This window comes from Homo sapiens, chromosome 20, assembly GCF_000001405.40.
Source record: "Homo sapiens chromosome 20, GRCh38.p14 Primary Assembly".
In the NCBI taxonomy this organism is placed as follows: Eukaryota; Metazoa; Chordata; class Mammalia; order Primates; family Hominidae; genus Homo; species Homo sapiens.
Genome location: NC_000020.11, coordinates 9,173,277 through 9,187,273, shown reverse-complemented (window position 1 = coordinate 9,187,273; position 13,997 = coordinate 9,173,277). Strand labels below are relative to the sequence as shown.

The 13,997-nt window shown below is 39.4% G+C and overlaps 1 protein-coding gene across 11 annotated transcripts in view, besides 1 other annotated feature; it reads right to left on the bottom strand.

The window, feature by feature from the left end:
• PLCB4 (phospholipase C beta 4) overlaps positions 1-13,997 on the bottom strand; it is a 412,131-nt gene that overhangs the window by 293,535 nt on the left and 104,599 nt on the right. The window lies entirely within an intron of this gene.
• Positions 6,429-7,044: an enhancer, noted in NCBI's record as "OCT4-NANOG hESC enhancer chr20:9160877-9161492 (GRCh37/hg19 assembly coordinates)". NCBI's record gives its function as "activates a minimal SCP1, AML or CMV promoter by ChIP-STARR-seq in naive and primed H9 embryonic stem cells {active_cell/tissue: H9 hESC(naive and primed)}" and the evidence as "EXISTENCE:reporter gene assay evidence [ECO:0000049][PMID:30033119]".

Below are 13,997 nucleotides of genomic sequence, written 5' to 3'. Positions count from 1 at the left end.
GGCCGGGCATGGTGCTCATGCCTGTAATCCCAGGACTTTGGGAGGCCGAGGCGGACAGATCACTTGAGGTCAGGAGTTTGAGACCAGCCTGGCAGACATGGTAAAACGCTGTCTCTACTAAAAAAAAAAATACAAAAATTATCCAGGCTGCTGGTAGGCACCTGTAATCCCTCAGGGAGGCTGAGGCAGGAGAATCGCCTGAACCCAGAAGGTGAAGTTTGCAGTAAGCTGAGATCACGCCACTGCACTCCAGCCTGGGTGACAGAGCAAGACTCCATCTCAAAAAATAATAATAATAAGTAAAAAATAAAACAACAGGTAGGGAAGTAGCAGGAAAGCAAATAAAAGGGTCACTGTGGCCAGGGCACCGAGGTCTCAGCGTCTGAGGCAAAGGACAGGCAAACCATCAGAGGCAGAACTGATGGTTTCATTGGGGGTTTCCTGTACCTTCAGGAGGCAGCTGGGCTGGAGGAAAAGAAACTCATTTAGATAAACAGGCTGGGAAGAGAAGCACAAGATAACTAGCTAGAAGTAGAAGGCACCTGCAGAGAGAAAAGAACTCAGTCTGCAAAGTGGACCTGGACCACACCACTGGAAAGGAGAAGAGGCAGCAGCTCGTTTGGCACATGGCAAACCGCTTGAGTTGTTCACACCCAGAAGGCACAAAAACGGCCAGACAGGAAAGACAAAGAAGTGAATTCACTGGATGCCATGACCTCGGGACAATTCAAGCCACTTCAAAAAATTAAAACACCCAGTGTTTTCTTTGGGTTTACTAGTTGGTTTCAGATAAGTGGAATTAAAAGTACATGATTATTTTTCCATAGATGTTAAAGTGGCCCTTTCCTGAAAAGAGCCTCGTGCCAATTAAAAACCTCTGAGGATCAAATGGAAGCTTCTGGAATGAGTTGGCAGAGACTAATCTGTCATTATAAGAAAAAACAATCAGAATGGGTTTTGACAAATACTATTTTTTAAAAAACTTTCTTTTGACTCTTATCTCATGAGTAGATATGTAAAATGTGAAGTCTGAAACCCATACCATAAAAGAATGGCTTTAGGATTTGTTAAACATGATTTTTTAAAACAGGCATCCAAGGTCAAGGGACAATAAGGGTTCACCCACCACACCACCCTTGAATGGGCGTTCATTTATTCAGCAAATATTTACTGAATCACTACTATGAATGAGGCACTTTTCTAAGTGCTTGGTGAACATCAGTAAATAAAACAAAACTGCCACCACTATGGCACTTACATTCTAGAGAGGCAGTAAACGCTAAACATGATAAATAAATTATACCATATATTAAAGGATGGTAAGTGCTGTGGAAAAAGCAAAAATAGAGAACGGAGTAGGGGTTAATGTTAATAAGAAATCTAGCTTTATAAATGAGCAAAAACTAAGGAAATGAGAGATTTAGCCATGTGGATGAGTGGGGGAAGGCAGAGCATTACTGGGAGAGGAAGCAGCCACAGCAAAGACCCCAGGATGACAGCAGAGCAGCGAGGAAGCCAGTGTGACTAAGCCCAGTGAGCTAGAGATGAGGTCACGCAAAAAGGAGTCAGATCACACAGGCCTGGTGGGTCACGGTAAAGACTCTGGCTTTTACTCGGAGTCAGATGAGGACCCCTTGGAGGGCTCTGAGCAGGGAGGCTCAGGAGCTGACTTACACTTAGTCAGTCACTTTCGGTGCTGAGTGCAGAACAGGCTACGGAGAGGGGTCAGTGTGGGGAACAAGCCAGGATGAGAAGAGACCAGTCATCCAGGTGAAAGAGAACCTGGCTCAGGCCAGGATGGCAGCAAGGGAATTAGTGAAAAGAAGGTGGGTACATTTTGAAGGTAGAGCAGACAGAATTTACCATACCACGTGTGAGTGTGAGAGAGAGGAGTCAAGGATGATTTGAAGAACAAAACTGAATAATATGCCCTTTCTAAATTTCAGTATAAATAAAAAAAAAACTATAGAAAATGTTATCACTCAGTCAAACACTAGGTTTCTATTTAGCACCTGCTATTTAATATGGGATTCCCTTCCAGGGAGTTTTTCCACAAGGAAGCAAAGTCTTAGGCTGGGCGTGGTAGCTCTCACCTATAATCCAAGCAACTTGGGAGGCCAAGGCAGTATGATTTTTCAAGGCCAGAAGTTCGAGACCAACCTGCACTACATAGTGAGACCCCTACCAGTGGGGCATGGTGGCACACACCTGTAGTCCCAGCTACTGGGGAAGCTGAAGCAGAAGGATGGCTTGAGCCCAGGTGGTCAAGGCTGCAGTGGGCTATGATTGTGCCACTGCACTCCAGCCGGGGTGGCTGACAGAGTGAGACCCTGTCTGAAAAATAAATAAATACATAAATAGGTAGTAAACTATTCATGGGCAGATGGGCAGCTAGCTGCAAGTTTCACTTAGGTGTGGTTCTGTCCCAACAAAAAAACTAGAGTATTTTACAGTAGGGCTAGCATTACACAAATTGAATGTACAACTGTCAAGATTTTTAAAACAGCTCCTAGATGCGTGTGTTATATGTATACAACACATAAGATCACCTGACAGCTCATAAATCGGTTCATAGTGGCGATGTTTTATTTCCGTAAGAGTCAAAACTAGTTGAATAAAAAAAAATTGCCTCCTAATCATAAAAACCAGAGGTTTTTTTTTTTTTTTTTTTTTTGAGGCACAATGCTGGGTCACCACCCTCAAATGGTTCCTTTCTATATTAATTTAATTTCAAAACAACATAAAACCTATGAGCATAGTAATGTTATCAATCTGAAGCATTTCTAGAACTGAAGAAACCATGGATGGCTTCTCAAATAGAGCACCTGCAATGACATCACGACACAGTGTCCACCATGCTGGGGGTTTCACCTGGAACTTTAAAGAAAGTGCTTATGAAGGTAAAGGAAACATTCACCAAAAAACCACTTTGACTCATTCTGAGCCAAATAAAGCTATCTACTCAAGTAAAATTTGAAAACCCAGCTGAAATAAAGCCATAAAAGAAGCTAAAGAATGCTGATCCCTTTTCCGTTTTTTCCCATGACCACAATACTGAGGTGGTCACCTTTGAGCAAGGATCGCCTTCAGAATCATTGCAGAAGGTGGTGGGGGTTGAAGTCAATGTAGGAAATAGGATGCCTTCTACCTTCAATTTAATTCCTTCTTTGAAACGTCCCATCTTCTGGTACCTTCCAATGGCTTTAGATTTTTAAAATTAATTTTGCCTCTTTTTGCAGGAAAAAAATGTAAACTTGCAAAAACTGATAGTGCAGGGAAAGTAGCTCACGTTAAAGCAGATTCTTCAGTTTATAAATATATTTACTATAGAATTTTTTAATAGCTTCATAGATTAATCCACTTGTCTCTGGTTATAAAGACCCAGGGTATAAATATGTTACAATGAGCTATATGAAGTAACTAATATTTAATCATTTTGATCAACAAAAACAGCAATTTCGTATGGTTCAGCCTAATACCAGTGAGGTATCAAGATATCTGATGTAAAATTAAAATAATATTTTTCAATAACACATACAAACAGGAAAGTGAGATTCCATTTTCCCTAATTCAATTTGTATACAACTTTAAACGTCTGTATACAATATTTCCAAAAACCATTAAAAAACACTTAAAATATTACTTATCACTAATTATAACTACAAGCAAGAGAAGTTGAAAATAATGATAAATTAGACCAGCATTCTTATCTAAATAAATATCTCCAGCTTGATGGTCCTTTTTGATACTACTCCAAAACTGAAACTTAAAAATCTAGCAGCTTTTCTTCTTTCTTATGTGTGGTGATGGAAAAAAATTTCTACGTCCTCTGTGGTATCACAGCCCTTTCCCCCATGCCTCCCGCTCTACCTGGTTTTAGAGTTGCATCTCCATCTTGTTCTGGAGAAGCCTCACCAGCCCTCATCACTTCCTCCTCCCCAGAACTAACTGAGGGAGGGAGGGAAATGTGGCCGTTGTGTAGTGGGAGATGGGCTTAGTGACCCAATCTGGAGTTACCCCATTATGCTTGGGGTACCTTGGCTGGGACACCAACAATACAGCACATTTTCACGAGATAGGTGAGCCCCAGGCTTCCCTGGGCTGTAAGAGGGACTTGGGCTGGAGAGTTAGAGAAAACTCTGGGACACCACTTATGTTTGGACAACATCCTCCGGGGCAGGGGAGATTTCAAATGGTGCTCTCCCTGTAGTTTAATAGACACAGACAGATTCTTCCTAGCTGTGCTGTGAGGCAGAGCAGCGTGACTCCCTGACCCCTGCAGAAAGACACGTTGAATCCTGAAGTCACTGAGTGGTAGCTTCAGGCCCTGTAAGCGTATTCTTCCTTGTAAATATGATGAAAATGAGCAATTAGATGTGACCAAACAGAATAGGTATTTATTACTTTTCTTTCACATGATCCCCAAACTGTTGCTGCTGGTGGTGTCTCAGAGCATGGGAAGGACATGGCTGAGACAGCTGAGAAGGGAGAGCTACACCAGGAAGCCCCTTAGCCTGTCGGCAGAGGGCCAAGGTTTCAGCACTGGGTGACCCAACTAGTCCCAGTTTAAAAATCCGAAGTCCCATGTCCTAGGCGCCTGAGCTGGGAGTTCATTTCCTAGAGACAACAGGCCAACCACCTGCCCTTCAATCTCTACCTCTGCCAGAAGCTCCCTGTCACTTGCTATTACAGCCCTGCTATTTGTTGAGGAGAAGTCTGTAAACCACCCATCCATGCACTCAGTAAATACTACAGATGCATCTTCTGTAATAGCTCACAGGTTCCCGGGTTACTGAGACTTGAGTTAGGCCTAGCGATGATTGAGCAAATTCCCCAAAACCCTCAATTTTAGACAAAAAACGAAGAACATGCCTCCCGTAGACACTTCAGCCTGGTATAATGGGTAGCTTCCAGCACAGCCAACTTTAAAGAGTTCTTTTAACTGTGAGAGCCCCAGAAGCAGGTGATTGATAGCCTAAGGATAAGAAAAAACCCTCAACCCTTTACTCACTTTACATGGGGTAAACCAATAGTCAGCAGCTAGCTACAAGAATGGAGCCCAAACCTGAAGACATTTAAAGGCAAAGAAGAACCAATTCTTCAACAAGGTAATTCTTATTGCTATAAAACCACTCCAGCTAATGATCAATTCATTTATACAAAACTTATTTTTTGAACATTTTCCACGGGCCAGGTTATAGGTGAGACGCTATGGACAAAGAACAACAAAACAGACACCGCCCTCTCAACTCCCACTCTCATGACTGTTGCTAAAATCTATTACTCACTTTGCCCTTCCTTTTCTCAAAATCATTTCATAAAATTAGCCCAAGGTCTGAAAGCAATTTCCTAGAACCCCTATTATTGATCTTCTTTCTCTCTTTTGGGAGACTGTATTGGTGTTATTCTAAGAAGCTCTACAGAACAATTATTTGTCTCACTTTGTTGTCCTAGTGAGATTGCTAGGGACTGAACATTTGTGTCCTCCACTCCCAAAATTTCCATAATGAAGCCCCAATCCCCAGTGTAATGGTATTTGGAAGTGGGGTCTTTGGGAGGTAATTAGAGTTGGATTAGGTCATGAGGATGGGGCCTGTATGATGGGATTTACAGCATTATAAAAGAACAGAGACAAACACTCTGCCTCCACCATCCCCCCGACCTGAGTGCCATGTAAGGACAATGACAAGACCATCTACAAACCAGAAAGAGGGCCCTCTCCAGACACGGAATCTGCAGGCACCTTGACTTTGGACTTCCAGCCTCCACAACGGTAAGAAATGGCTTTTGTTTATAAGGCACCTAGTCTATGGCATTTTGTGATAGCAGCCTGAAGTAAGAGACTCAGAAGGTATAGGGAAAAACACCTAAAAAATTAGGACTTGAGGAAACACTTTTGATTGCTAGGGACTATCAAGACTTACTTTCAGATACACCTTTAACAGTGATCAATATGGCAAGCAAAAACAATGCTTGGTACCCTGAGCCTCATCTGACAGACACCTCATAACATCTGAAGTCTGTTTGCAGAAATGAATTAGATCAGCACCATTTGGGAGGTCTCAAAAAGACTAATATCATGAATAGAATGTTAGTGAGGAGGGTGGCACAAAGTGCATGAGGCCAAAGACTTTTGATGACCCTCTATGAATGGCAACCCTTAGGACATCTCTGATGGCTTTATCTTGGTCAGCTATTCAAAGCTTGGTTAAGGTCATAGTTTCCAAAGAACTTTCTCTGCATTACAATCAGGCACAACATATGGGTCCTGCAGCTTAAGTGCCTCACTCACAGGGGACTTATCATCTCCACAAGTCTCACTGTAGCAGTTGGCAAGCCCATATGGGATAATAAATTCAAGGACATTTGTTTATTTTTGTGCTCAAATGCTTAAATAATTTTGTAGGAACAAAGTTTTCAAGGTATCACAGAAATAGCATCCAGACAGAATCACATTCCAAACTCCTTTCTAATGAGATGATTCTTGGGAAATCTGAGGAGCTTTTTCTTGCAAAATTTGCACCTGAAAGTCCTTGAATGGGTGAAATGGGCGTGAATGTGATCTTCAACCAAGGGAGGAATTGAGAACACTGAAGTCATCTGCATAGTCTTTGTGGCAAGGTTGACTGCACTCTAGCAGCTTAGCAAGAGTCCCACCTTTGTGTGAAAGGCAGCAGTTATATCAGAAATTACTTATTCCCCTGTGCAGAAAGGAATTGAGGGTTGTAACACCAGCCATGCTAAACTGAGTTTAGGCAAGATGTAGCCCTAAAGAACTGACTTCAGCATGCATCCTTCCATAGACCAATCCCATATGATCACTAACTAATAAATGCCCCAATTTGCAGAATTCAGATCGTAGCACCAGCTTTATAATGGAAAAATCCCCCATCAAGAGGCTGATTCTACTTGTGAGATTTAAATCGCTGAACAATGAGTACTAATGGTCTTTTTTATTTTGAAATTGTTTATTGTCAGAGTATAAGCTAGCCGATCTTGACTAATACACCATCATTTTTATTATCCATAATAATTACTATCCATAATAATACCAAGGCAGAAAAATTTTTATTATGATGAATATTGGGGCCACAAGATTGTTAGGACAATACATGCTCCTGTTCAGAACTTTCTATTTCTCTTACTTTGATGCACAGTGAGAGATTTCATCATGAAAATTCCAGAACATATGTTGATTTATGTCTAGCATTTAGAACTAAACATTCCTAAACAAGGCATCTGAAGCACAGCACATGCTTGTGTTTTATAGTGAATTCTATGTGTGTTTTTACCAATAATTCTTGTAGGTGGTTCTCCTTTTTTCCCCTCATTCTCACCAGAGAAGGAATTTTATGGGGATAGTGGTGTGTTTTGTTTCTTTCATTTTATGCAAGGCAAATAATTTTAGAATTTTCAAGCTGAAGAGAACCTGAGATAATCTATTCTAACCCCTAGCTTTGAGGAAGAGGACAGTGAGGTGTAGAGAAATGAAAACAAGCAAGTTCATATAAAATGTTCCTTCATAACAGCTTTCTCTCATTCACTAAAACAAGCATGTACTCAAAGAGGCTAAAATGCCCACAAGTCTAGACTGCCAACCTTTGGCATACTTAACTCAGTATCAAATGACTCATCTCCTTCCTCAGTGGAAAACCTGGGTAAATCTGCTGTATTCGTTTTCTATTGCTCCTGTAATAAAATTCACAAACTAGTGGCTTTAAACAACACAAATATGTCATCTTACAGTTCTGTAGATCAGAAATGCAGCATGGATCTCACCTCTAAAATCAAGATGGGAACAAGGCTTCTTTCCTTTAAGGAGGCTCTAGAGGAATCATCCATTTCATTGTCATTCAAGCTTCTAGAAGCCACCCACATTCCTTGAAGTAATGGGGCCATGAGCCAAGGAATCTCATGGCCCTATTACTTCACCTTTGAAGCCAGCAATATTGAGTCTCCTGCTCCCTTTCATGCTTTGAACTCTCCCTCTCTCTTCTCCTCACTGTTTTACTTGTTCCTGGTTTACCATCACCCCAACCTCTATGTGCCACCCTATCCACCTGCACAATGGAAAAATACCCTTTCAAAGCCACCAATCTTATCAAACAGTCCCCTATTCAAAATCCTTCAGTGATATCCCATTACCCATAATTGTGGTCCTCAAAAAATCTGTGCCTATACCCCTCTAGACAAATCTAGAAAAACTCACCAAAAGTCAATTTTAAGTTATCTTCATTTTTTATCATAAGTTCAAAAGGGTTGTTAAAGATATAATTTCTAGAATGTTCTAAATGTTGACAATTTAAACATAATAGCTGTTAGATATACCTAAATGTATCTAGAATGTAAACACCAAAATTATTTAAAAATAAGCAAGTTCACACTTAACATTTATGTTTTATAATGCCTTTTTTCTATTTCTTTTCTACCTCCCCTGCAAAATTTTATCCTAATGAATACATTTTTGTGGCTAAAAGTATTTTATTGATCTATCATATATCCCTATATACAACAAAATATATACATAATTTAGAATTTTAAGTTTAAATTTACTTTGAATTTAGCCCCTAAGGGTGAAATAATGTATTTTAATTAAGTTATACTAAAGTTTTCACTGGTAGGCAATTGACAAAAACCACATAAATATCATAAATATTAATATAATTTTAGTAATTATTAAATATAAAACTTTACTTGAAATATATCTTTTGATAAAATGGATAGGGCTTTTAAAAAATTAATCCATACATCTATGAATATTACTTAATGCTAAAATAACAAAGTTTTACCATCAATTTTATTCCAGTTTTTCATTTTTCTTCACATAAGTGCTGATAAAATGTTTTTGCCCTAAGAAAAGTTTCAATCTCTGAACTCCTTTTGAGTTTTATGCCACCACAGAAGGTGATCCAAATTCAAAATTATTTTTATTTATTTATTTATTTATTTTTTGAGACAAAGTCTCACTCCTATTGCCCAGGCTGGAGTACAGTGGTGCAATCTCAGCTCACTGCAACCTCCGCCTCCCAGATTCAAGCAATTCTCCTGCCTCAGCCTCCCAAGTAGCTGGGATTACAGGATCCCGCCACCACAGCCAGCTAATGCTTTTGTATTTTTAGTGGAGACGTGGTTTCACCATGTTGGTCAGAATGGTCTCGAACTCCTGACTTCAGGTGATCCACTGGCCTCAGCCTCCCAAAGTGCTGGGATTACAGGCATGAACCACCTGGCCTGGCCAAAATTATTTTTAACGATTTATCAACTGATGATACAAATATGTTTTAAGCACAGTTTTGTTGCAGAACACGGTGTTTTTCTGTTTAGCACTTGGAATGTTTTTATACCATAGGACAATGTACCATATTAATATTTTGGAAAGATGAGATAAGTATCTTCCTTCTACAAAATGAGATGAGGACAGGCAGGTGTTAGGCAGATCAGTTTTAAGAAAGGGTATACGTAAAAGTTTAAAACATGGAAAGTAATCCCTTAAGAATCGCTGAGCCCTTGCATGTATTCCATTAGAATATTTTCATTTAGGCCCAAGTGTATGCCTAAAGTCATCTTGAAAACAAGTAGGATCAAATCAAAACGTCTTTGCATACAACACAATGTCTTTCATGACTTGATGCAAGCTCACTTTCCATTTCCCACCCTTATCCATCTACACCCCTTTTCCAACACTAGCTTGAGAAACTGAATTACTTACATTGGTTCTAAGTTGCTTTCAAGGGGAACATGTGTCAAAATGACTTCCTCCCTTGATTATACTTTGCCCCCAAGCCTACCGCTATTTTAGACACAAGAGATGAGTCACTGAAATTTATACCAGCACCTTGGCCCTGTCTCAGTCCAGTCCCGAGGCTCTGCTTGGTATTCGACACAAATTAACAGCAGTAGTTTAATTAGTTATCATATCTTTAGGATAAAATCTGTAAAACAAACCCAAACCCATTCAACCACATCGTTTATTCCCACACTCCAGGAACACTATTCAGCAATTCCAGCATTTCATATATAGAGACGAGGTTATTTTTATTACTCTGCTCTCCTGCCCCTACTAACATGCTGCTTTTATTTCTATTGGATATATTTTTTCACATTCTGCTTAGTGTCACAATGACCTGTGTATAAATCTGACTTTTTCTGTCTCCATGGGGCCACAGCCATGGGTTCCATCTTCATTTGATTCCTTATTTGATTTCCAAGTTCCAACCACCCCTCCTTGAAAAATCTTTCTTTCTTCGCCACCAGTCCATCATTGTTGCTCCTTATATAATCATTCTTTCTCAGTTTCCTCCATTTGCACTCCCTTTGCCCACTGCTTATCCCAGAAGTTCTTAAACTTTGCATGATACAATACCAGAAGTCACAGCCCCAAAATTGTGGCAGTTATCTTTTCCCAAGTCAGAGGGAAAAAAGCTTCTAACAGTTTCCTCATGTTAGAGTTTCTATTATTTTTCTTAAAAGTTTGCTATTTGACTGTCAGTAATGGCCAGCAAATGACTAAAGTAAACAAACACTAAGGAAAACACAGAAATTACTTATATGTAGTTTAAGGGTTTTGTGTATATGCTCATGGGTTGGAATTTTATGCATAAAGTAAGATCTTATATTTTACTTTGAAAACTGGTGCTTCTTCATATGATATAATAAAATATGTATACATTTCCCTGTTTGTGTGTATGTATATACATTTACATATGTGTGCATAATGTAAATAAATATGCAGTAGATATCAACATAAAATTAAGGTTTTTTTCTATTTGTCTGATAATACATGTAAAAATGGCCTAGTGAAAATACTCAGATACTGCTGGATGGAATGAAAATAGTTCAACCATTTTATAAACCAATTTGGCAGTTTCTTACACATCTGATCATGCGTCTACCACCTCACCCAGCCATTCCATTCTTATTTACCCAAAAGAAATAAAAACATGTTCACACAAATATTTGTACACAAATGTTCATAGGAACCTTACTCTTAACAGCCTGACACTGGAAATATACACATGCCCATCAACAGGTAAATAAGTGGTAGTATGTGCACACAATTGAATATTACTCAGCAATGTAAAAAAGCTATAGAGGAAACAATAGCATGGAGGAATCTCTGAAACATAATTCTGAAAGAAAAAAGCCAGATAAAAAGAATACATAGTTCCATTTGTATGAAATCCCAGAGAGAGCAAAAAGAATCTAAAAGTGACAGGAAAGCAGACTAGTAGTTGCCTGGGGCCAAGGGGTTGGGAAAAATGGACTTCAAGAAGACTGGAACAAGCTTTCTGGGGTGCCAGAAAGGTCCTAAATTGTGATTGTGGTGGTGGTGTACACATTTGCTAAGACTCACGCAATGCAAAATGAGCACTAAAGATGGATCCATATCATTCCGTGTAAATTATAGTTCAATAAAGTTAAGATATTTTAACAGGCCCAATGGACCTTTCACCAAATTTGGAGATAATGTCAGGGATGATCTGATTTGCTATGAATATGGGATTATGTGGTAGATGTGGGGTTTACTTTGAATGACTCTGCAGGAGGCAGATGAGGGGAGGGAGTAGAGTTTTTTTCTATAGAGTGAGCTGTCTATTCATTTTAAAGATTTCAGTGAGTTGATATCATATCACTTATTGGAACTGCCATAATTTTATGGATGAGACACGGACCTAAGAGGAATAAATTGGTGCACTCCAGCATAACATTTGTATTTAATTTGGCACAACTTGGGCTTTAAGCAGTATGGGTAGACTCTTAAACTAAGAAGGACTATTTCTTCCTGATGCCAATCCACAGATTATTCTTTCCATGGTGAAATAAGGTTACTTGGACAATTTATTGGAACTGAGAATCTTTAGTGCACTGTTTATCGGAACTGAAAATATTTGGAGAATGTAGTTTATTGGAAATGACATCCCTGGAAGCTAAACAAATGAATGCATAAACTGATCTAGAGAATGAGACCTAGAAGGGTTCACCCTTCTCCCCAGCACCCTAGTGTGACAATACAAAACACTGATGTTTCTTAAACTTGATTGCACTTCATCATCTCCTGGAGAGCTTGTTAAAACATAGATTTCTGGGCCCCATCCCCAGAGCTTCTGATCCAGTAGGTCTGGGGTGGGGTCTGACAACGTGCATTTCCAGCAATTCCCAGGTAATGCTGATGCTGATGGTGACAACCAATGCTGTATACCCGGTCTTCTGGACCTATGTCCTACTATAGTTCTGGAATGGCATATCTATGAATCAACTAAAAAGAAATCTATTTATTTCACTAGCTACACCATCAGTATTAATAACAATAAGACAGGTCAAAAGAGAAAATGTCATGATTCTTAGAAACAAAGACGGACAAATTGTTCCTGCCTCAAATAATTTGTGGATAGATGAGTTTTTCTCAATTCTTAGATTACTAAGTAGCTTCTGTATTTCTGACATTAATTTTGCCACTCTCTTATCAGCAAACATGAATATTACACTATGTTCTGCTGATAAATGACAGTCATAAGTTCAAAATGTATATCATTTTCCAGTGTCAGATGACAAAGATAAGACAATTGTGAAGGAAGGACTAGTGATTAACAAGAAGTTATATTAAAAGTTGGAAAACAAGGAAGAAAACCACAAATAGCAATAGCAGCAGCAATTTCCCAGGGGAAAATAATTAGGCTTTAAAGAGCTTAATAGTCAAGGGACCAAGGAGGGAAGAAACATCTTAATTAGTAGGAAATGTAGATGAAAAGAAAACTACAATGTAAAAAAGGCTTGAAATATACAATATTGCCAGGTAAAATTGAAAAGAAAAAAAAAAAAAAGAAGAATAGGCCAGGTGCAGTGGCTCACACCTGTAATCCCAGCACTTTGGGAGGTAGAGGTAGAGGATTTCTTAAGCCCAGGAGTTTGAGACCAGATTGGCCAACATAGTAAGACTCTGTCTGTACAAAAATAAAAAATAAAAAAAAAATTAGCTAGGCATGGTTACGTGCCCTTTGTCCTAGCTACTAGGGAGGCTGAGGGAGGAGGATTCCTTGAAGCTGGGAGATGGAGGCTGAAGTGAGCCATGATCACGCCACTGAACTCCAGCCTCAGCAACAGTGAGACCCTGTCTCCAGGAGAAAAAAACAAAACAAAACAAAACAAGAAGCAGCAGCAGTAGCAGCAAAACCAAGCCAAGAAATAAAGGAGAGTTGTTTTATTTTTGTGCGATTATTTAATATAGCATTTAAAAATAAGATATACCTAGATACGGTAATTTGTGAAGGGGGAGAATCAGTTTTTTAAATAAATATTCTCATCTTATTTGGTGGATAAATATCCAACTCCAGGGAAATAGAAATCAGTGCCAGTTCCTCAGCACTGTAGAGGTCACAGCCTGAAGGAATTAGATGCTTCCCTGAAGGTGGAAGTGGGGAAGTGAATTTGGGGTGTGGAACATGGAACCTGTGAATAGTCACCTTACACAGCAAAGGGGGCTTTGCAGACAAGATTAAATTAAGGATCTTGAGATAGAGAGGTGACTGTATTATCTGAGTGGGCTCAATGTAATCACAAAAATCCTTTAAAAATGAAAGAGAGAGGAAGAAGGATCAAAGAAAGACATGTGACAATAGAAACAGAGTTCAGAGGGATTCAGCCATAGTCACGGGATGTGCACAACTTCAAGAAGCTGGACAAGGCAAGGAATACATTATCTCCCCCAGAACCTCCAGAAAAAACACGGTCCTGCAGGCCTATTTGACTACCAACATCAAGAAGTGTAAGATAATAAATCTGTGCTTTAAGCCACTAAGTTTACGGCAGTTTGTTACAGCAGCAACAACAGGAAACTAATTCAGATGTCTTGGGATGCTGGGTGGAACTGGAGAGCGTGTGTCTCCTCTAAAGGAAGAACACAAGTCTGCATGTGGCCAGATCTTCTAATTTATCAGGAGATGAGGTAAATCTGTTTGCATAAAGTTGGCAACTAGTAACACTGTGCAGGACCAAAAGTA